This window comes from Homo sapiens, chromosome 2 (genome assembly GCF_000001405.40).
Source record: "Homo sapiens chromosome 2, GRCh38.p14 Primary Assembly".
Taxonomy (NCBI): domain Eukaryota; kingdom Metazoa; phylum Chordata; class Mammalia; order Primates; family Hominidae; genus Homo; species Homo sapiens.
The window spans coordinates 188,301,058-188,323,666 of record NC_000002.12 but is presented as its reverse complement, the minus strand read 5'-3'; the positions used below and the strand labels follow the sequence as shown (position 1 = coordinate 188,323,666).

The 22,609-nt window shown below is 35.9% G+C and overlaps 1 protein-coding gene across 64 annotated transcripts in view, besides 2 other annotated features; it reads right to left on the bottom strand.

The window, feature by feature from the left end:
* GULP1 (GULP PTB domain containing engulfment adaptor 1) overlaps positions 1-22,609 on the bottom strand; it is a 304,053-nt gene that overhangs the window by 272,260 nt on the left and 9,184 nt on the right. The window lies entirely within an intron of this gene.
* Positions 18,622-19,539: an enhancer, noted in NCBI's record as "OCT4-NANOG-H3K27ac-H3K4me1 hESC enhancer chr2:189168855-189169772 (GRCh37/hg19 assembly coordinates)". NCBI's record gives its function as "activates a minimal SCP1, AML or CMV promoter by ChIP-STARR-seq in naive H9 embryonic stem cells {active_cell/tissue: H9 hESC(naive)}" and the evidence as "EXISTENCE:reporter gene assay evidence [ECO:0000049][PMID:30033119]".
* Positions 19,540-20,457: an enhancer, noted in NCBI's record as "OCT4-NANOG-H3K27ac hESC enhancer chr2:189167937-189168854 (GRCh37/hg19 assembly coordinates)". NCBI's record gives its function as "activates a minimal SCP1, AML or CMV promoter by ChIP-STARR-seq in naive H9 embryonic stem cells {active_cell/tissue: H9 hESC(naive)}" and the evidence as "EXISTENCE:reporter gene assay evidence [ECO:0000049][PMID:30033119]".

The window sequence follows — 22,609 nt, the reverse complement described above, 5'->3', positions numbered from 1 at the left end:
CACACACACACACACATATCTTCAGATATCTCCTTAATGGCACATTTTCATTCAATTTGCACTCACAAACTCCTTAACTGCACACTTTTTGGAGAAGGAAGTGATTTCTCTGTGGGCAGCAAAAAAATTGAGGATTCTTCAGGATATTGTTTAAATAAATATTAAAATAACAGTCCTTCATGAATAAGTGGTTATTCATCCTTTAAACATTTATTGCCAACTGCAACTGTGCATGCAAAGAGTGGAGTCCCTAGAATATAAAAGAATATGTACCACAGCACAGCCTATGTTCAGGGCAGTTACAAAGGGAACAGATCTAAAACTAGATATACCTGACTCTAAAACCCATGCCTTTCTTCTGTGCTGAGATTGCAATCTAGCTACAACACAGTAAAATACAATGAAATAAAATAAAATCGCAGGAAGTACAATGGCAATTCAGGGAGAAGAGGAGATATTCACTCTGTCTGCAAAGGATTAAAAGAGAACCCAAGCAGCTTAAGGTGAGAGGCAAAATGTGAGCTGGATCTGGAAGAGTGTCGATATTTACAGACAAATAAATTTATATTGGTTTTTAGGAAAACTCAACGAAGAGAAGAAAGGACAGCAAACGCAAAGGTAAAATCTCCTAAGGATGCAGTGATTGTCCAGTTTGTATCAAGTAGGGGGAGGAATGAGAACATAAGCACAGTGCAGATGGTAGAGCAAATAGAGGGTAAAGATAAAGAGGTCTTGACAAAAGGCAGAACTTTGAAGGCTTTTGGCCAGAATAAAACATGATCAGGGCTGCCATGAACAAGAGTGAGAAAATACCTAAGACTGGGAGAAAAGAATTTCAAACCACAGGCAAGAGGTATTGAAGGCCAAAGTCAGGGTCAGGGAAGTAGTGGGAATGCACACTGGCTGGCTTTGACGTACTACTCAGCCATAAAGTCTACAACTTCAAATAAATGTGACCTTTACCACAAAGAGCTAAGTGAGAGTGGCACAAGAAACTGTAGTCAATATACATTTCCAAAATAAACCTTTATAAAACAGCTGAAATAACAAAGGTAGAGAAGAATTGCAGTGTTGTGAGAAACTGAGAAATAGCGACAGAAATACCTGGTAAAAGAATAGCTACAAATTTGGATAACAAACCACCATGAATACTATTATATCCAGCCACGTTATAAACTATTTTAATGCCATTTGGAGGAGATCTAGAATTAAGCTGAAATCAGCTTTAACTTTCTCTTTTTCTCTAAGGTATTACAAAGTTCATGCCATGAGAATAGGACAAACTAACGAGGTTATATTGTTTCTTCATTTACAACCTCACCTAGCAGCCAATGCCAACCTCTTCCTCTACCCCTAAAAAAAAAAGCTCTAAAATATAAATGCAGCATACTGAATTATACTCTATAATGATTAATACACTGTATAGAGAACACTGTGTATACAATTTGAAAATAATGAAGCAGAAGAATTTTTGATCATGTTGTTGATGATTCCTACTTAAAACCTGAAACCCCTGCAAATTAAAGGGCAAGTTTTGTAATGCACAAATTTTTTCCCATCAACTCAGTGGTGATACTTTAGATAATTTTAAGTGATTCCTGGGTAATTTTATTTTATTCATTTATTTATTTATTTATTTTTGAGACAGAGTTTCACTCCTGTTGTCCAGGCTGGAGTGCAATGGCACAATCTTGCTCGATCTTGGCTCACTGCAACCTCCGCCTCCTAGGTTCAAGAGATTCTCATGCCTCAGCCTCCCAAGTAGCTGGGATTACAGGCATCTGCCACCACACCCGGCTAATTTGTATTTTTAGTAGAGTTGGTGTTTCACCATGTTGGTCAGGCTGGTCTCAAACTCCTGACCTTAGGTGATCTGCCCGCCTCTGACTCCCAAAGTGCTGGGATTACAGGTGTGAGCCACCATGCTTGGCTACCTGAGTAATCTTTTAACTCTGTGATCCTTTTTACTTTACTATTTAATGTGTACTGAAAAAAAAAAGATATAGAAGACTACATTTCCCCTTTAAATATATTTAAGTTTTTAAAAAGTTTATTTCAATAAAAATACATCTATACAAGTGATAAACAGTGCCAGTAATACAATAAAATCTTATATGTGAAAAACATTTTTAGCATGTTAGCACACTAAACTTACTGCCACAGATAATTTCATCAGAACGTTATCTTTTAGTAGTTTTCTACTCAATCCCAGTTTATGGAAAAATCAGGTCTATTGTATTAGACTCAGTATTAGTATCAAATATAACAACAATATCTAGAATTTGGTTTATATTAATTTACAAAGAAAACATTTCATCTATTGGATATGCCATTTTCAAATCTTTTGAAATTGGTTTACATAGTTAGAAATTATAAAAGCAGAATCAGAAATTACAGATATAAAGATTGGTGTGTTGAAGACAGAAAAATAAATTGATCCATTAAAATCAATACAATGCTTGAATTTCGCATTCAAATTTTAACTTCAAAAAAAGGTTGAGTATTGTTTCTTCAAAGGAAGTGATTTAACCACATGCCAGGAAAAGCTTGAAATAGGTAATTCTTTTAAAATAGCCTATAGTAGAAATTCCTTTTAAAGTCAACAGGAAATTCATTAAACATGAATATATACCAAGGGCGGAAATAAGACCATTAAGTCTAGAAATATAGGAAACTGTTTTTTTGAAGTAGTCTACATTTCACTCTGAAGGACAGTTGGTTTCTTTTCCTTTTGTAGGTGTTTTTTTTTTTCTGGAGGAGGAGAGTACAAAAATTTTTAATTTCAAAGATTAACATGTCTGAAAACATATCCTAGATAGTACATAGATAAGGTTTTTGTTATTAAAACATTACTGAGTTTTGCAAATTTTAGGTAAAATCTTAAAATTTTAGTTTATGTTATTTCCATTTAAATTGAAGATTGCCCATATTCACATAGAAGATGAATGTTGAAGGATTATGTATAGAAAATCCATACATACTTAAACTTTATGATGCAGCATCTATTTTGAAAGCCTGTTTGTTTTATTTTTTTTAACAAAACATGCTTCTCAGAAAATATGTTTATATGTTGCATTGCATTGCTATAGCCCAAATGCATACATTTTTGTAAAATACCAAGAGTCAAAGTGCTGTATAAACTTTTGTCAGGACATAGGAAAGAAGGTCTTATACCAGGTTACTGATACTCACAGAGATATGTGAAAACATTTCTTTCAAGTTGGAGAGGACTTTTTCATCAGTGAATATTCTTTCCATGTAATGATGCAGCAAATACATACCTACTGCCAAGGACGTTAAAGTCAATTGTACACATAAGGAGTGAAGGTTCAATACTGTTCTATTTATGATAATTTTAATTATACTTCAAAACACATTATGTTTCAGGGATAGCCACCTTTCCTTTAAAAATATGTCCAAAAAATACTATATGAGTTTAGAGATGCTAATAAACTTTGGTTCTCTACCACCATGGTGTTGCTCCCTAGGGGACATTTGGCATCAGCTGGTGATGGTCTTCCTCCCAGCGGACATTTGGCACCAACTAGGAATGCTTTTGCCTCCCAGGGACATTTGACAACATCTAGAGACATTTTGCCTTATCACAACTAGGGGCACTGTGCTGGTGTCTAGTGGGTAGAGGCCAGGGATGTTGCTTAACATGCTACAATGCACAGGGCCACTCCCTTGACAACAAAGAGTTGTCTTTCCCAAAATGTCAATATTGCCAAGACTGGGAAACCCCATACTAAACTTATCACCATCAAACATACTCCAAGATATTAAGCTCAATGATAGAAGAAAGTAAAAAGGGCAAAAAAGATCAAATGAAAGAAAGAATAGGACAAAAAAAGAGCTCTGAATCAACAAAATAAAAATCTAAAGTTTTGTAATAAGTATTTATGGCTAATATGAGAAATGCAATATGGGGTCATGCTGTAGTAATGATCACACACATATACAAGGACTGTAGGCAAACTTGGCAAACAACCATAAAAGAAAAAGGGTTGCTATTTAAGCTACATTTCTGGCTTGTTGATGAATGACCTGACTTAACACAATTATTTTATATGCTCATAGTCATGTTTCCCATTCCTATGAGATGCTAGCAGTGGTAGCTAGTTGGGTAGATTTGTCCAAATAATAAAGGGTGACCTTCAGTTGTAAAATCAAATCTCTTTATTTCCAAAGTATGTTGACCTCCTCCAACCCAAGTTAAAAGAATATACACTATGATTCCATCTTTCAATGTATTAACATCAAGATGTACAAGTCTGAAAATGGTCAAAATTTTGTACTGGAATAATGCATACTAAACTATTGTTTTTACCTCTGAGGGACGTGGGTGTAAGGGGGCCATGAAGGTAAACATTCCTATTTTGCTCTCTCTGTCTTGTGTTTGAATCTTTTATAATAAGAATGCATTCATGTGTAAAAACTTTTATTTTTACAAAGAATAAGCTTTCCCAAAAGCAAGATGCAAAAATTCTGCTATAGCTTATTAACATTTAATGCAAATATCTTGCTTTGTATAATATAGAAATTGTTCAACAGTTACAATAACAGCTTTAATCATGTTCCCAATAAAGGAATTTGCTAGCTAAATTCTACAGAGTTTATTCCACAGATTTAAAAATGTTTAGAAAACAAATATCACCCATAAATTAAATAATGTATTCGATGCAGGGCAGGCAAGCCCCCAAACTGGGGCTTAGCTTGGGACAGTTCTTGACTCTGTCCAGGAAAGAAATCAAAGGCATGACAATGGTAGGAGCCTCTATTGAGGTGGTAGTGTACAGCAGAAGCAGAAGCACTGCTCCTTGCAGAGCACAGCTACCCCATAGGAAGCGCGCCTAGAATAGCAGCTAAAAGGCAGTTCTGCAGTCATATTTATACCTGCTTTTAATTACATGCAAATTAAGGGGCAGATTATGCAGAAATTTCTAGGAAAAGGGTAATAACTCCTGGGTTGTTGGATTATTCCCACGGAAAGCAGTGGTAACTTGGGAGTTAACTTATAGTAACTCACCATGCCAATGATAAACTAATATGGTGCACTGCTGGGCATGTCTTATGGAAAGCTGCCTCTGCCCCTTCCTTGCTTTAGCTAGTCCTCAATTTGATCCGGTGTTCCAGCCCTGTCTCCGTTGTTGAGTCCCACCTTCTGCCTCATATTGAGCTACATTTCCATATATGGAGTTTATTGAAAGAAAAGAACAATTGAATACCATCAGCACACCATTGTTACTCTGGGAATTTTATTGACATTTTTGTTATCTGTCTGAAAATAAAACAACTGATAACAACAGCACATTTGGGCATGTTAAAAGGACTTAGAAATTTTCCTACTAGCTATAAAAAATTTATATACCCTCTGACTAAATGTTTTACAACTTTTATGAGACTTACTCTGATTCACTAAAATAACATATATAGCGATAGTCAGTCAACAGTCAAAAAAATGCTTTGCATTTTCTCCATTCTGCTTTATTTAATTCTGAACAAGAATAACTGCACTTTCTAGATCATGACTGATTTTCCTCATTTATTAACATATCATTTTATGGAGCAAAAATTAATTAGAAGGAAATCAGTTATTTCATCCAACTAAGATTAGGCAGGTATCAAAAGTTTTTTCACTCATCAATTAGGGCAATTTACAATAAATAGCCAAGTGAAATTTTGGCTGACACTAAAGATTAGTTTGCCAAGGTATCAAAAATGAACAATGAAAAACTGGAAAAGAAAAAGCTGTGATCATAAAATCAATCTACTTATGGAACTATAGTTTTACTCTCAGAAAAACTTTTCTCATTCCATCTAATATCATCTTCGATCCACTATACATATGCCACAATATAAAAAAAAAACCTCACTAATTCACTTAATAGCATATTTTAAAATACATGTTTATAATATTTTAAGTTATATAGTCATGATTAAGTATATTATTATACATTATAAATAAAATCTATGTCCTCCCCAACTTTCCAAGGAAAGCTATCCATTAACATGGCACATATAAATACAACAAAAACACGTATACTCTGAATTTCTCATACTCTATCAGTAAGTGGCCTTTTCAATACATAAACATTTGACAGACTGCACCATAATCTGGAAAAATAAAACAATGTAAAGATATAAGAGATAAATCTATGTAATTACTCCAACAGACAAAAACATGCAAATCAGGTTATTATTAAATTATACTAAATATATTTCTCTCTGGTTGTCACTGCTTCTTAGACTCCCCAGATCATCAATCAAAATCCCAGTTGACTAGATTGTGTCGACTATCACTTTACTTCCAGTATATCTTGTAAAAATATGTTTCCTATTTCATTCAGGAGAAAATTGCAATTCAATCTGAAAAGAACCATGTTCTTAGGATTAAAGTCCTCACCTACATCTGTGCATACATATAATCTTAGGAAACCAAACGAGCCATGAAAAATTACGTAATTCCTTCCTATGGGATGAAATGAGGTAGTCAAGTGGCTGAGGCCAGATTGTGCAGGGCTACATACATCATGGGGGAGAGTTTGGCTTGTTTTCTGCTAATGTCTATGAGATAAAAACCGATTTTGCTAGGTAGTGGCACTCAGGTAACAGAGGAAGGGTTAAGTGCAGGTGTGGCCCTCTCCCAATTCATTATCTAACATTTGCATCTTTCTCACAGTTCTTCCCAAGGCATATTTTAATATAAGCATTTTCAAGGAGGCATGTTTTCTTTAAAGGAAATGAGATCTTGAATTTATTGTTTCTTCATTCACTCATCAAATATTTGAAAGCCTATCATGCCTGGCACTGTTATAGGTTTTGGGTTCCTAGGAATATAAACAAATGCACAGCAATCTCTACTTTTATGGGGATTCTACTCTTGTAGATAAGAAATATTAAGAATACCAGATTATTACATGATATAGTATATTAGGTGATAAGTACTACTGAAAATATTAAAATAGGATTAATGGGAAATACCAAGGAGTTGTGATTTTAAATATGGAGGTAAGGGTAGGCTTCCCAGGAAGATGACTTCTGAGGAAAAAGCAGGAGTTGAAAAGTGAAGCATAAGGGACAGCTGGGGAGGAGCAGTCAGGGCGCTGTGTGAACAGTGAGCAATGAGGCCACAAAGGCATCAAGAGGCCATACCATGTGGGACTTCCCAAGTAATTACTCTTCCTTTATATGAAATGGAAGCCAGTGGAAGGTTTTGAGTAGAGAAGTGACATAATGCAGGACCTGGGACACTCAAATGGAGAAAATGTACAGAAGTGAGTGTGCAACTGTAATGAAAAAATCTACCAGAAAGCAAACAACCTAGTAGACAAAAAGTCAAAAAAGTGTGAAAGGCCATAAAGAGGGTAGTTGCTAGCCAAAGAGACTGTAATTCTTCAAATATATTAGAAGTTTCTTGTCACAGGATGAAACTTGTCAGTTTTATCTGCCTTTACAAAAACAGAAAATGAGTTGTAAAAGGGAGTCTTTCTACCTTTCTCTGTTGTATCAGGCATACAAGCAAAAAGAGAGCTATACATTCTATTCAGAGCAATAAATAAAATTTCATTCTAACTGTAGATCAAATATCATGGCTTTTTCTTCCACGTTTTACCCTAAATGGTAATCGCCATCATTACAACTATTTCTTTTTATCTTTCATAGCAGCAATTTACTCATATCCTGCTTCTTCTTGGTGTTTCTTACATTCATTCACTTAACAATAGCCTCCCTTAATCTGCAGTTTTGCTTTCTGTGGCTCAATTACCCTCAATCAGTCACAGTCTGAAAATATTAAGATATTTTGAGAGACCGAGAGAGGGAGCATTCATATAACTTTTATTACCGTACATTACCATAATTGTTCTATTTTACTTTTAGTTATTATTGTTAATCCTTTACTGTGCCTAATTTATAAATTAAACCTTATCATAGATTGGTATGTACAGGAAAAAACATAGTACAGGTATATACAGGGTTACATACTATCTGTGGTTTCAGGCATCCACTGAGGATCTTGGAACGTGTCTCCTGAGGATGAAGGGGGCCTACTGTATTCATTAATCCAAGAAACCTTTATTTTGTACTTTCTTAACATCAAGTAGTATGCTAAGTGCTATAAAGACAATGATTAAATACAAAAAATTCAAAGGTCTGAAACAAAGACATTGGGAAACAGACTCTGATAGGCCACAATACAGACAGAAAAATATCACTATACAGCAGTCCTCCCTCATCTGCAGGGGATACATCTGAAGACCCCCAGTGGATGCCTGAAACCAAGGATAACACCAAATCTTATATTTACTATGTTTTCTCCTATAGATACATATGATAAAGCTTAATTTATAAATTAGGCACAGTAAGAGATTAACAATAACTAATATAAAAGAACAATTACAACAACATACTGTAATAAAAGTTATCATGCACTGCAGCCATAACTTTTACAGTTTGAAGTGAGATGGCAAAACTAGCCTGAGTTTCTTTTCCTTCGTTACAATTTCATGGATTGAAGATTAGTTTTCACCATGGATCTCAGCAATCTCAGCATATGATTTTTTTTCTTTCCTTATTAAGTTGAAAACATTCAGCTTTTCACTTAAAGTAAGCATTTCAAGGCTTATTCTTGGCATATTAAAATTCTCAGCATCACTACTCTGTGCTTTGGTGCCATTATTAAGTAAAATAAGGGTTACCTGATCACAAGCACTGCTATACCAAGACAGCAGATCTGATAACGGGATGGCTACTAAGTGACTAATGGGTGGGGAGCACAGACAGCACGGATGGCTAGACAAAGGGATGATTCAAAAGTAGGGGATAGTGTGGGGTTTTATCACGCTACTCAGAACAGTGTGCAATTTAAAACAAGAATCGTTTATTTCTGGAATTTTCCATTTAATATTTTCCAACCACAATTGACCGGAGGTAACTGGAACTGCAGAAAACAAAACCATTGTTAAGGGGAGACTACTGTAATGTATTTAAAAGGTACATAAAGAAAGTGTAGTGGGGCTGGCAACAGAGCACAGTATAATCTACTTAGCCTGTGGAGCCAAAGGAGGTTTTACAAAGTTAGTTTTATTAAAAAATTGTAGTCGGTAAAAGCACAAGTTATGGAGACATACTGGCTGACTACAAATTTGGCTGAGGCCTACATCCTAGCTGTGTGACCTTGGGCAAGTGGGAGGAGAGAGGTTGTTGAGTATGCAAGAAACTAAATCATGAAAAATGGAGAGGGGGAGGATAAAGATCTAGGACACTAGGACATGGGTTCTATTTTTCACTTTACAGGATAACAATTAAAAGAAAAAATTTGCACAGGAGAAAGTTTGACTTTGACATTTCAAGTAATAAAAAATGATTCTTAAGGACAGAGACAATTCCCCTACTGTACTACTAGTATTTTGTTAGGAAACTTTTGTGAAGAGATTTTTCTCACCAAAGTGACCTCCATTTTATATAGACAGATTAAGTAACTTGAAGGCTATCCAGTTGGTACCAAGAACTATATAGAAAATATAGAAAATTCAAAAGAATCCACAACTAAAAATGACTAAAAACGACTCTACAGACAGTGTTAAGACTTCATGCCAGCACTAGATCCAAGAATGGAGTCTTATTATGTTACTTTATTTTATATGTATTTTGTTTTTTTTTTAATTTTCCTTTTTATGAAACTTTAAAAGAAGAAAAAAATTTAAAAGCCTTAGTTAGGCATTTTCCCTAGGAATACATCTAACAAGGTATGTGAAGGACCTCTTCAAGGAGAACTATATACCAATTCTCAATAAAATAAATAAAATACTCAATTCTCAATAAAATACCAATTCTCAATAAAATAAAATACCAATTCTCAATAAAATAAATAAAAGAGAAATAAAAGAGGATGCAAACAAAAGGCAAAACATTCCATCCTCATGGATAGGAAAAATCAATATTGTGAAAATGGCCATACTGCCCAAAGTAATTCATAGACTCAATGACATTCCCATCAAACTACCATTGACATTCTTCACAGAATTAGAAAAAACTACTTTAAATTTCATGGTCAATCAAAGAACACCCCATATAGCCAAGACAATCCTAAGCAAAAGGAGCACAGCTGAAGGCATCATGCTACCTGACTTCAAACTATCCTACAAGGCTACAGTAACCAAAACAGCATGGTACTAGTATCAAAACAGACATATAGACCAATGGAGCAGAACAGAGACTTCAGAAATAACCCCACAAATCTACAACCATCTGATCTTCAACAAACCTGACAAAAACAACCAATGGGTAAGGGATCTCCTATTCAGTAAATGGTGCAACTGGCTAGCCATATGCAGAAAATTGAAACTGGACCCCTTCCTTACACCTGATGCAAAAATTAACTCAAGATGGATTCAAGACTTAAATGTAAAACCCAAAACCATAAAAACCCTAGGAGAAAACCTGGGAAATACCATTCAGGACGCAGGCATGGACAAAGACTTCATAACAAAAACGTCAAAAGCAATTGCAACAAAAGCCAAAATTGACAAATGGGATCTAATTAAACTAAAGAGCTTCTGCACAGCAAAAGAAACTATCATCAGCGTGAACAGGCAACCTACAGAATGGGAGAAAATTTTTGCCATCCACCTATCTGACAAAGGTCTAATATCCAGAGTTTACAAGGAACTTAAACAAATTTACAGGAAAAAAACAAACAACCCCATCAAAAAGTGGGCAAAGGATATGAACAGACACTTCTCAAAAGAAGACATTCATGCGGCCAACAAGCATGTGAAAAAAAGCTCAACATCACCGACCATCAGAGAAATGCACATGCCAATAAAATGGCGATTATTAAAAAGTCAGGAAACAATAGATGCTGGCAAGGCTGTGGAGAATTAGGAACGCTTTTACAGTGTTGGGGGGAATGTAAATTAGTTCAACCATTGTGGAAGACAGTATGGCGATTCCTCAAGGATCTAGAACTAGAAATAGCATTTGACCCAGCAATCCCATTACCGGGTATTTACTCAAAGGATTATAAATCATTCTATTATAAAGACACATGCACACATATGTTTATTGCAGCACTATTTACAACAGCAAAGACATGGAACCAACCAAATGCCCATCAATGATAGACTGGATAAAGAAAACGTGGTACATATACACCATGGAATACTATGCTGCCATAAAAATGAATGAGATCATGTCCTTTGCAGGGACATGGATGAAGCTGGAAGCCATCATCCTCAGCAAACTAACACAGAAACAGAAAACCAAATACCACATGTTCTCATTTATAAGTGGGAGTTGAACAATGGACACAGAGAAGGGAACAACACACACCAGGTTCTGTTGGTGGATGGGGGATGAGGGGAGGGAACTTAGAGGATAGGTCAATAGGTGCAGCAAACCACCATGGAAAACATATATCTGTGTAACAAACCTGCACATTCTGAACATATATCTGGGTTTTTTTTTAGGAGAAATTAAAAAAAATAGTCTTAGATATTTTCTAAAGTACTTAGGTATTTTAAAGAAAAAAACATAAAGAGATATGACATAACAGAAAGACAATAGCAAATCTAGGTATGGTGTTTTTGAATTATATTGAAGGAGCTGTCTATAAAGACCTCACTACAAGTGTAGTTAGAAGTCTATATTAATGCTGTATTTCTCTAAATTCTTTATTTTTCCGTCAGAATTATTTTGTTAAAAAGCCAGTTTGAGTTAAGAAATGTTTAGTAGTAATTGTATTCAAGGTATATGTGTATTAATATAATATATAATAAATATGTAATGTGTATATATTTATAATATATAATGCTTCTAAGTATTATAGTACATATGTATATACTTATACGTATAAGTATATGCATACAAATATTAAATTTATTGTATTTAAATATTTATATTTTATTATATACATATAAATATTAGATTTATAAATATATAAATATAAATAAACATTTTTATAATGCTTATCATAAAATGCTTTCTAAATATTAATATAACTTCATAGTAAATTTCAGTAACTGAGAAAATCAATTTTGTTAAAATTGGATACATCTACTCATATTTATTTCTAGGTATCTCTACTTCTTTTAAATGACTGGTCAAATTCAAAATGGTGTCAGAATCAGCAAAGCTCAAGATGAAGTCACAAAAAGGAAAAGTTAACTCCACAATGCATGGTGGCTCACGCCTATAATCCCAGCACTTTGGGAGGCCAAGGCAGGCAGGATCACAAGGTCAAGACATACAGACCATCCTGACCAACATGGTGAAACCCCGTCTCTACTAAAAATACAAAAATTAGCTGGGCACGGTGGCGCATGCCTGTAGTCCCAGCTACTCGGGAGGCTGAGGCAGGAGAATCGCTTGAACCCGGGATGTGGAGCTTGCAGTGAGCCAAGATCATGTCACTGCACTGCAGCCTGTGCAACAGAGCGAGACTCCGACTCAAAAAAAAAAAAGTATTTGTGGAAACCAATAACCAACTGCAGAAATATTATTTGGGGAATTGGGCATAATTCCTTGAGTTGGAGGCCCATAATTCTTTATCCTTTGACCAAGGATTGAAACTCATTTTGCCAGGCTTCTGAAATCTCTATTCAATTTCAGGTAAGGAACTGTGTGGACACGGAAAGCTGCAACCCAAAAATGAACACAAAGCCCTGGCCAGCTAAGCTGACCATTTCTAGAAATATCTGACAAATATTAGATACAATTTCATCTTTAACACAGTTAAGTCCTATTAAAATATTTTTCAAGTTAGTCCTTTCTTTTCTATCTCTTCTAAAATGATCTAGTTTAGATCTCTATTAGCTTCCTCCTATGAGGTTTAAGAAGTCCCTCTGGTATTGAAATTATGGGTTCAGATTTTCTTCTCTGTGTCTGTTACTGGCTTCTCATTTTCTGATTCTCCTCAAATATCAGTGCTCTCAGGGGTATGACTTCATGCCATTGACAGTCATCTCCAGGCTGAGGACTCTCAAATCCATCTCCATCTCAGGATTTCCCCCTACTTCCAAATGGTATATCCAACTCACTATAGAGCACCTCTCCCTGAATGTCCCCAAAACACCTCAAACTCAAAAATACAAAGAAGAATTCTTACTTTTTTCTTCCAATCACATTCTTTGTCTCATATTTCCTTGTCTTGGTGAATTTTACTGCAATCCAGTCAACCAAGCAAGCTTGCAATTTACACATGATTCTATTTCTTTTTCTTGATATGCTCACATCCAATCAACCAACAATTTCTATAAATTAAACATCACCCTGATTCATTCTTCTTCAATCTCCTTGATATTTCTTAAATTCAGGCCTTCATCTTCTCTAATCGAGACTATTTTAACATTTTCCAATTTACTTATATTACTTTATTCTCATACCTCTTCATTCTGTCTTGCTCAAAGCTGTGAGGTTTTATAAGTGCAAAGTGTATCATGTTCCTTTCCTCTTTTTCCCTTCCTTTTATTTTGTTTAAAAACCTTGAATGGTTCCTCAGAGTCCACAGCTACAGAACTCTAACAGAGGCACATAAACACTTAGGAAATGTAGCAGAGTTGGGGAGTAAATGAAGTCACAGAAATTAATAACCCATATTCCTAGAGGATTGAAATTGCCTCATTGTAACTGAAATATAGAAGGTTTACTTTAAAACAAACTTTATGAAGCAGAAGGCCAGATTCTAATGAATTTAAGACTTCAAAGGAAGTACACTTGCAGAAGGCAGATTAAGCTTATAAGTCCACTCTTCTCTGACATTAAGAATACCTTGGAGGAATCTAGCACAGTAGTTGGCACATAGCAAAAAATAAGCTTTAAAAAGTATGTTGAATGAATGAAAGTCTGCATAGTAAAAGCAGGAACCCCAGCAGCCTTCATCCACTTAGCACACAATTATTGGCTCTCCCGTATTTACAAATATTATTCCACAAGATTGATCACTCAATTTAAATTTCAATTATCACAGTTGGACTTAAAATTTTTTTTCTCTCAATGTCTTAAGCTACAGACAAGCTATGGGATACTCTTCAACAATAGCCCTGATCCGTAGTTACTCAGCCTTTCTCCAAAAAGGTTCAGTAACAGAGCATCACTATTGCATAATCAATCTTGATCCATTATCAGAAGCTTCTTTCTTATATTGAGTTGGAATCTCAAGATAATATACCTTAATTTCTTCTTGTTTATTTATTTATTTTGAGAGAGGGTCTCGCTCTATTGCCCAGACTGAAGTGCAGTGGTGTGATCTCGGCTCACTGCAGCCTCAACCTCCCAGGCTCAAGCAGTCCTCCCACCTCAGCCTCCTGAGTAGCTGGGACCACAGGTGCACATCCCCATGCCAGGCTATTTTTCGTATTTTTTGTAGAAATGGGGTTTCACCATGTTGCCCAGGCTGGTCTTGAACTGCTGGGCTCAAGCAACCTGCCCACCTCAACCTCCCAAAGTGCTGGGATTACAGGTGTGAGCCACCAAGCCTAGCCAATTCCTTCTTAAGACAGAGATCATTCGTGATGTTACATCTCCCAAAAGACAGGATCGAAAAGAAAAATGCCATTGGATTCAAACTGTGAAAAGGAACAATTTCAAAAACAACAAAGTAACAATATAAATGTTAACTATGGATGTTTAGGAGCTTCATGGTGATCTGACAGATGAAGAACAAGAAAATCTGATGCTGCCTGCTCCCCAAGCTAAACAGAGACACACGAACTCTAATAATCTGGGGGCTAAGGGAGGGAACACACAAGAAAAAGCTCCATGAAAATGTACAAGTACCACGGCAGATACTCTCTTTTATACCTCTCAGTGATGCATACAAGGTTCGGGCCATTATCTTCATTTTACATTCAAGAAAAACTTCTAGAAAAGCCAAATAATCTCTGAATAATCTCAGAGCTAAATAAGAGTTCTCAAGACCCTTTACTAGCAAGTGATGGAGCCAGGAGCAAGACTACACACCATGGGAATGTCTGGTAAGGAGCCAGGTCTATCTGCACCTCAGTAAGTCTTTAATAACTCATCTTGGCATTCTATAACATCTTACGGACTATACACTTCATCTTTTTTACTGAACTTGCAGAAGTTCAGAACTTGGAGAAGTTCAGTACATAAGATGTAAATGGGGGACATAAAACAAAGCTCTAGTGCATTTATGTTCTGTGGGTTTGTTCTCTCACACAAACACACACTCATATATTTGTTTTTCAAATTTTAACCTTTTTTAAATGTTGGGGAAAAGATGGTCAAAAGCTTTTTTTGTAATGTTTTCATTTTAATACTGAGGAAAATTATTTTCTAAAACATTTTTCTGTGATAATTACTTTCCCATGTACATTTACAAAACAGAATGCAGCTTGCCATTAGCCCTTGATGGAAATGATGCATTTAAAATACCAAACCTAAAAAACAGATTCTGTCCATGATGTTAAGTTACTTTAATGACTGTGCTGATGTCAGGAAGACAGTCACAGACAGTCTCTCCTCATAATCAAATTAGTTGAGTCTGAACACATGTGGATGCTAATGCAGGCCACCGGGGGAAAAAAAAAAATGACCTAAAAGATTCAGACTGTAGGCCTTAGTAATCATGATCAAGAGCTGAGTGAGAGATAAAGCCCAGGGGCAGGACTGGCACAATGACACCCAGTTTATAATGTACTCATCCTTGTCTACTGGTGAAAAATTGCTGGCGTAGTGATTCCAACAAAAACCACTGCCAAATGATTAATGTTTCTCTTATTACTAATTTTCTGTTTAGATGTTATCAATCCACACCATTTCCTATTTATCTTTAATAGTACTACAAATATGAAATCATGAAATTAGATCCACAGGATTCTCCTTCTGAAGTTCTTCCTGCTCCCATATCAGTAAATACACCTAAATCAATGGCTATACACCACAGCATATTATGTGAAAAGAACTCAGTCTACAAACCAGTGTGTGGCACATGATCTCAATTATAATTAAACAATAAAGAAGAATGCAAATCAAAACAGCCAGGGAAACTAGCCTTTTTTCCTTTATACTAAACTCCAGTATTCTTAAATGTGTTTCAACAGCATAAATTAATTATATAATTGAAAACTATTGACCCATGTGAACTAAAAAACTTAGTAGCTTTCTCATACATAATTTTAGGATTGAGGCTTTCTTATTTTGTTTCATATGAATATTTTACATTGTAAACTTCCTACTACCATATTTTATTTGTAAAAAAAAAAATCTCGAAAAAGGAGATGTATCTCACTTCAAATTACACAATATTTTTAAACTGGTATGTATTTTCTTCTGAAAACATATAACTTTTTAATGCAGATATGTCAAAACAGAAATTAATTTTGTATCCTAATTTTTATCTTTTGTAAGTCACAAATTACATGATACGTTGAAGTTGTTCTACCTGTATTTATCATTGTGTATAAATTTATTTTCATAAAATATCATATTTGTTAATCAAAATGAAAACAGCATATAATTATACTGTAAAATTTAAACATAAAAATCCAAGAATCATAGTTTCATGACATAATAATACTAGCTATCATTTATTGACCACCTACAAAATCATTATTTTCCTTCAATAATTCTGCTTCTATTGTATTTATTCTGTTGATAAATGGTACAAACACCCAAGTTACCAAAACCAGAAAACTTAGAATCCAGATTTACGCCATTCTCCTGCCTACATCCTACTGTTTACCTCCCACAATTATTGATAGTCATCAAATACACAAAAAGTACAAAACATTATTTCTTCTTTAATATCTTGGAATGAAGTCATTTCCCATGGTCATCCCTCTAAACTAGGCTTCCACTCCCTCTTGCCTAGACATATTGGCAGACATCAACTCAGCTCTTTCTAAAACGTAGATGATGACATTTTGTCACCAACTCCATTATAACCTTTGTTAAATGGTTTTGAATTGCTCTTAGAATGAAGTACAAACTTTGGATTGTAAAGTCTGACCAGATGACTCCCTGCCTCACTGGCTTCATCTCCAGCAATTTTAGTCCCTCTTCTCTTTCTACCCTATTCTCTAGCTCTATTTTCAGTCTCCTATTCTGTAGCTAAACCATACATTCTCTCCTCCTGCTTACACATTTGAACCACTCTCTGCACACTCTCATTGCTTTCTACCAAGAAATCTTCCCTCACAACTAGAATGTCAAATCCCCTGCCAAGAGAACGTTTTTATAATACCCCAGCAACAAATACCACAGAGATCAAATGTCTAACAGTTTAACTTACCAAAGAAAGACAAAATGATGAAATTAACTGCCAAAATTAGGACAACTTTGAATATGGTATTTTGATTAAGAAATTGGTTTTAGGTTTGTTTTTAAAAAAAGGAAAATAAACTATTTAAAGTTAAATTTTAGACTACCCTAAGGGCTGAAATGTTCTCTGAGGTTATCTAGTCCATCTTCTCAGTGAAGAAAAATGTTATCAAATACTTAAGTGAAAAGTACATGTTGAACAATTAGAAACTATTGATATTAGTAATTTTATATCTTAGGTTATATTTACCCAAATCTTATCATTTGACAAAACCAAGGAGGAAAAATGGGATTAAGAAGAAATCAGGCCAGGCACGGTGGCTCACACCTATAATCCCAGCACTTTGGGAGGCTGAGGAGGGCGGATCACTTGAGGTCAGGAATTCGAGACCAGCCTGGCCAACATGGTGAAACCCCGTCTCTACTAAAAATACAAAAATTAGCCAGGCGCAGTGGCACATGCCTGCAATCCCAGTTACTCAGGAGACGGAAGCAGGAGACTCACATGAACCTGGGAGGCAGAGGCAGCAGTGAGCCAAGATTGCGCCACTCCACTCCAGCCTGGGCGACAGAACAAGACTGTCTTGAAAATAAATTTTGAAAATCTTTTTAAAAAGAAGAAATTAGACTATCTCACCTAACATTTTAACTATCCTGACAAATCAAATCAGGCAAAAGTCAAAGGAATATGCAGACAAAACATTGTCAATGGATGTGGTATCACGATAATTATATATTGTTTTTCATCCACATTTCCTGGCTCCCAACTTTCATAGTCCTTGTTATAATGCTGGAGCACTTTAGGCCTCAGGAAACCTCTCTGACCTCCTGTCCTTCCTTTACCTGCCCAAGCAGGACTCTAATCTGATTGTGAATCAAAACACTCATTACAGAGAGTCCTCCCCCATACCCTAAAGGAAGGAATGCTACACAGAGGGGCCAAGAAAAGTCTGAACAGACAGGCCTTTCTGGGTTTAGATCATGTGCTTTGTCCAATCACATTTCTACACTGTTGGTTGTCAATCATGCCTATATAATGAAGCCTTCCTCAAAACCCAAAAAGGGTTCAGAGAGCATCCTTCTGGATAGCTGAACATGTAGAGGTTCTTGGAGGGTGGCCCACCCAGGGAAGGCATGTAAGTCCCTATACGTCGCCCTATGCATCTCTTCATCTGCATCCTTTCTATTATCCTTTATAATAAACTGGTAAACATAAGTAAGTGTTTCCTTGAGTTCTGTAAGCTGCTTCAGCGAATTAATCACATCCAAAGAGGGGATCGTGGGAACTCCAGCTTGAAGTCAGTGGGTCAGAAGTTACAGAGGCCCGGACTTCCAACAAGTGTTGGAGGGGCATGAGGGGCAGTCTTGGGGAATGAGCCCTCAACCTGTGAGATCTGACATTATCTCCAGAGAGATAATGTCAGAATTGAATTAGAAGACACTCATTTGCTGTCCACTGCTTATTGATGGGGAAAAAAACCCATATATTTGGTCACAGAAGTCATCTGTGCTGGTTGTTGTTGTATGAGAGCAGAGGAAAAACATAGTTTGAGAGTTTTTCCTTAAACAATGCATTAATTTTTATGCTTTATCTGACTGAAGAGGATAAAATGAACAAATGTCTTATCACACAGGAGGTACAAGTAGCTATGCCTAAGAGCAGGAAATAAGTAGCTCATTGTGCCATCAGAGGGACAAAAAAGAAGGAATCGAGCATCTGCCAGGAATCTAGGAAGTCAGGTAATTCAAAGGTGTTACATTCTCACTTGTAAAGACAGCTACAAAGGTGGCCTAACTGTCCAGTTGGCATTCAACAGCACACTTTTTCAGCTAGTATGGTGGTTGAGACGCATTACTTCCCATCCTACCAATTGCCCTGGTTCCACTGTTTGCTGGCTGTGGATACTTAGACAAGTTTCTTTACCATTTGTAAATTGTAAAAAACATTTAACATGATGCTTAGGACATAGCACTCTAAATACTATTCTTTGTATCTTTACTCTCTGGTTCGAAAAATCCATTTTGGTGTCAACTCATAGGTATAAGAAAATAGATTAGAGAAATCTTATGAAGATGTTAATATGAATCTTATGAATCTTATGAAGATCTTAATAGACAGAAAGAGACAAATTAAGGAAGGGTGCTATTTTTACTTTATCTGATTATTTCAGCACAAGTGGGAGTTGGAAATTGAATTATCTAGATATACATCCTTTCCCTCATTTTATATCTGCTGTGAGCCAAGTTATATTTTCTACTATAATTTCCAAACTCTTCCATAAGCAGAGTTCCTTTATGGTAATTTCCATACCAAGCAGCATTTATTCTCATTCAAAAACCCACAAGAATGTGGCTCCCTTTTAAAACAAGCAAAGGTCGCCAGAGGGTACTCCTATTCTGTAAGGGCAGAGGGGGGCCCCAGGACAATCTCTAAACAATCATTTCCAAAAGAACAGTAATCCTCTGAGAATTGCAGCACTTTGTATTCTCTGGTCTCCCTTGCCTAGCTTCCCCAGTGTGGTGACTTCCTTAGTTGCCATGAATGAAGGTCATGATCTCATAAAGCAAGCATCTCAAGCATGTTTATTGCATTCTTATGCAAAAAAACTAATATGCACAAGTCAATCACAGTAATGTAGGAGGTCTTGTTACTTCAAATGTCGCCATCAATAACTGCTTCTCTAATGTCTCTTTCACTTTCCTTAGGTATTCCAGTTATTGGCTATGTTTCCCTCCAACCCAATCTCCATGCTTTTAACACCCATACTGATACCAGTTCTAATACATTAGCCTTTCTCAGTCTTGACCAATGACCTGGTTGCCACACAGCTTTACTGCAGACTTTCAGCATCTGTAACATTCCTACCTACAGTTTCACCAACTCTCTTCAAGTGCACTGCCCACACAACCTCTGGCTTTTTATTTCTCACATCCCTCATTCCCAGCAAACCTGCCCATTATGACACTTTGCCTATTCTTTCAGCAGGTTAGGTTAGTCCTAGTTCTGCTTGCCTCCACCTCCTGCTTAAACTACTTGGTTAACTATTTCAGCTAAAGCGAGCAATAATACTCCAAAATATATTTCATCCCTGCTCTTGTCAATTCTCAGATTTGGGTTATTCCTACCACCTTCAGGGCAAAAAGACAAAGAGATATATATCTCCCTACTTTGATTAGAGCACATTACAAAAACCAATATGCATACTGCTAAGTCATTGTAAAGGCTGGGTCAGGTCAAGAACTTGGTGGCAGAAAAAGATTAAATTGCTAATGGTTCCAGTGAACTAGAGTTTTATAAAATTAGTGTTGAAAAAAATGATTCATGACATTATTAAAGAACAGGAAGGCAAACTTTATTCAGGACCATCATAACAGGCGTTGGGACCATTGCAATGGGGTTTTTGCAGTGAGTAAGAAAAATTAGGCTCAACTTCAAATACTACAAGAAAAAGTAGGAATTTGTAGCCAAATAGCAGGATGTAAGACAGTGGAAGAAAAATTACTAGTCAGGATTCTTGCTGAATGAAGGTTAGGGTGATGAGATATCATCTGGGAAATGGTGGAAGGTGAGGACCCTCATTAGATATAGAGTGGTCAAATATTGAGGATGGCCAAAGACACTTAGCAGGATTCTTGCTAAATTTGGCAATGCAGATCAGAACACAGAAGCCCAAAAGTCAAGGCCTGGTTGAGAAGAGGACGCACAAGAGCCTGACCAGGATTTGGTCAAGGAGAAAATCTTTGTCACTAGCTCTTACTTAAAAGTTTACTGTATGTCTGTATTTTTTTATACCTCTGTGAGTGGAACTATAGTTTACCATTTTTTAAAATTTTACTTTTATCAGCTTTATCTTCTATATTTAAATAGTTACTAATTAGTCTTAACATCACACTGTAAGTTTTAAATTACTCAGACCAGGCACTGAAATTGCTTCAATATTTCTTTATGTATATTTAATGTTTTCAATACACTAAAGATACCACACAGCCAATAAATAGTGGTATAATTTTGTGAACTGATTAGATTATGAATTTATATTTCAAAAAATTTTAAATTTAGTTCTCTATTGTCTGAGCTTGTTAGATTATTCCTAGTTTTGCTAGCCTCTACCTCCTGCATAATTTATTCATTTTAAAATAAATCTAGTTAATAAGATGATTGACTTATCTACTGTATTAAAAACTTAATGCATGGTGATTTGAATAATAAGTTTTTATAGACTAATAGCACTAACCATATCTAAAATTTACAAAACCCAAGTAGTCTGTAAAGTTTCTTCAATAATCTAAATTACTACTTCTAAAACTTTTATTTACAAAATTAAGATATCATTTAATAATGGCTATAATTAGGATACTATTTTAAGTAGCCAAATATTTTATTCAAGTTGGTTTGAAAAAGAAAGAAATTCATTATCTCACACAGCAGTAAATCCAGAAATATAGTAGGGAGTCAAGAACCCAATGATTCCATCAAGTACCCAAGGTTTTATATTTTTTCTGCCATTTTAAGGCATTTGTTTTGCCCTCAAGCTGAATCTCCTCGTGACAAAAGATGATCCCTGTAGCAATTTGAAGAAGCATGTATTCCAGATAGGACAAATATCAAAAGCCAACATGTGCTTTCTCATCCAATGTTCCCTTGCTAAGTGGAACTAAATCTTTTCTACCCATTCCCCTTAGTCCTCTCATTTCACCTGACATGTGACATATGACTAAAACTGGGACAAGGAACAATCACTGCCAAGGGGCATAGAAACACCAAGATTTTTAGCTGAACCTAATCTAAAATTCCCTTGAATTAGGAGTAGGATTGACTTCCCCTGAGTTATGTGGGAAAGAGTGGACATTTGAATAATACCAGGGAAAAGAAGAATAAGGAATAGATTTTAGTGGACTATCAATAATTTATGCCACAGTACAAGGAAGGTGATATAGCTCTCAAAAGTGAAAACATGCTTCTTACAAATGGAAATGCAAGAAACGGAAAGAAGAGTTAACTTCAGGTACAAAATCACACCTGGTTTAACCCAATGTCATTGTCATTAAAAGGGAACTTGGAGCCAAGTACAGTGCTCACACCTGTAATACCAGCACATTGGCAGGTCAAAGCCAGAGAATTGTTTAAGCCCAGGAGTTCTAGACAAGCCTGGGCAACACAGTGAGAACCTGTCTCTAGAAGGAATTGTAAAAATTTAAAAATTAGCCATGCATGGTGGCATGCACCTATAGTTTCAGCTACTTGGGAGGCTGAAGTGGGAGGATTACTTGAGTCCAGGAGTTTGAGGCTGCAGTGAGCTATGATTGCACCAGTGCACTCCGGGTT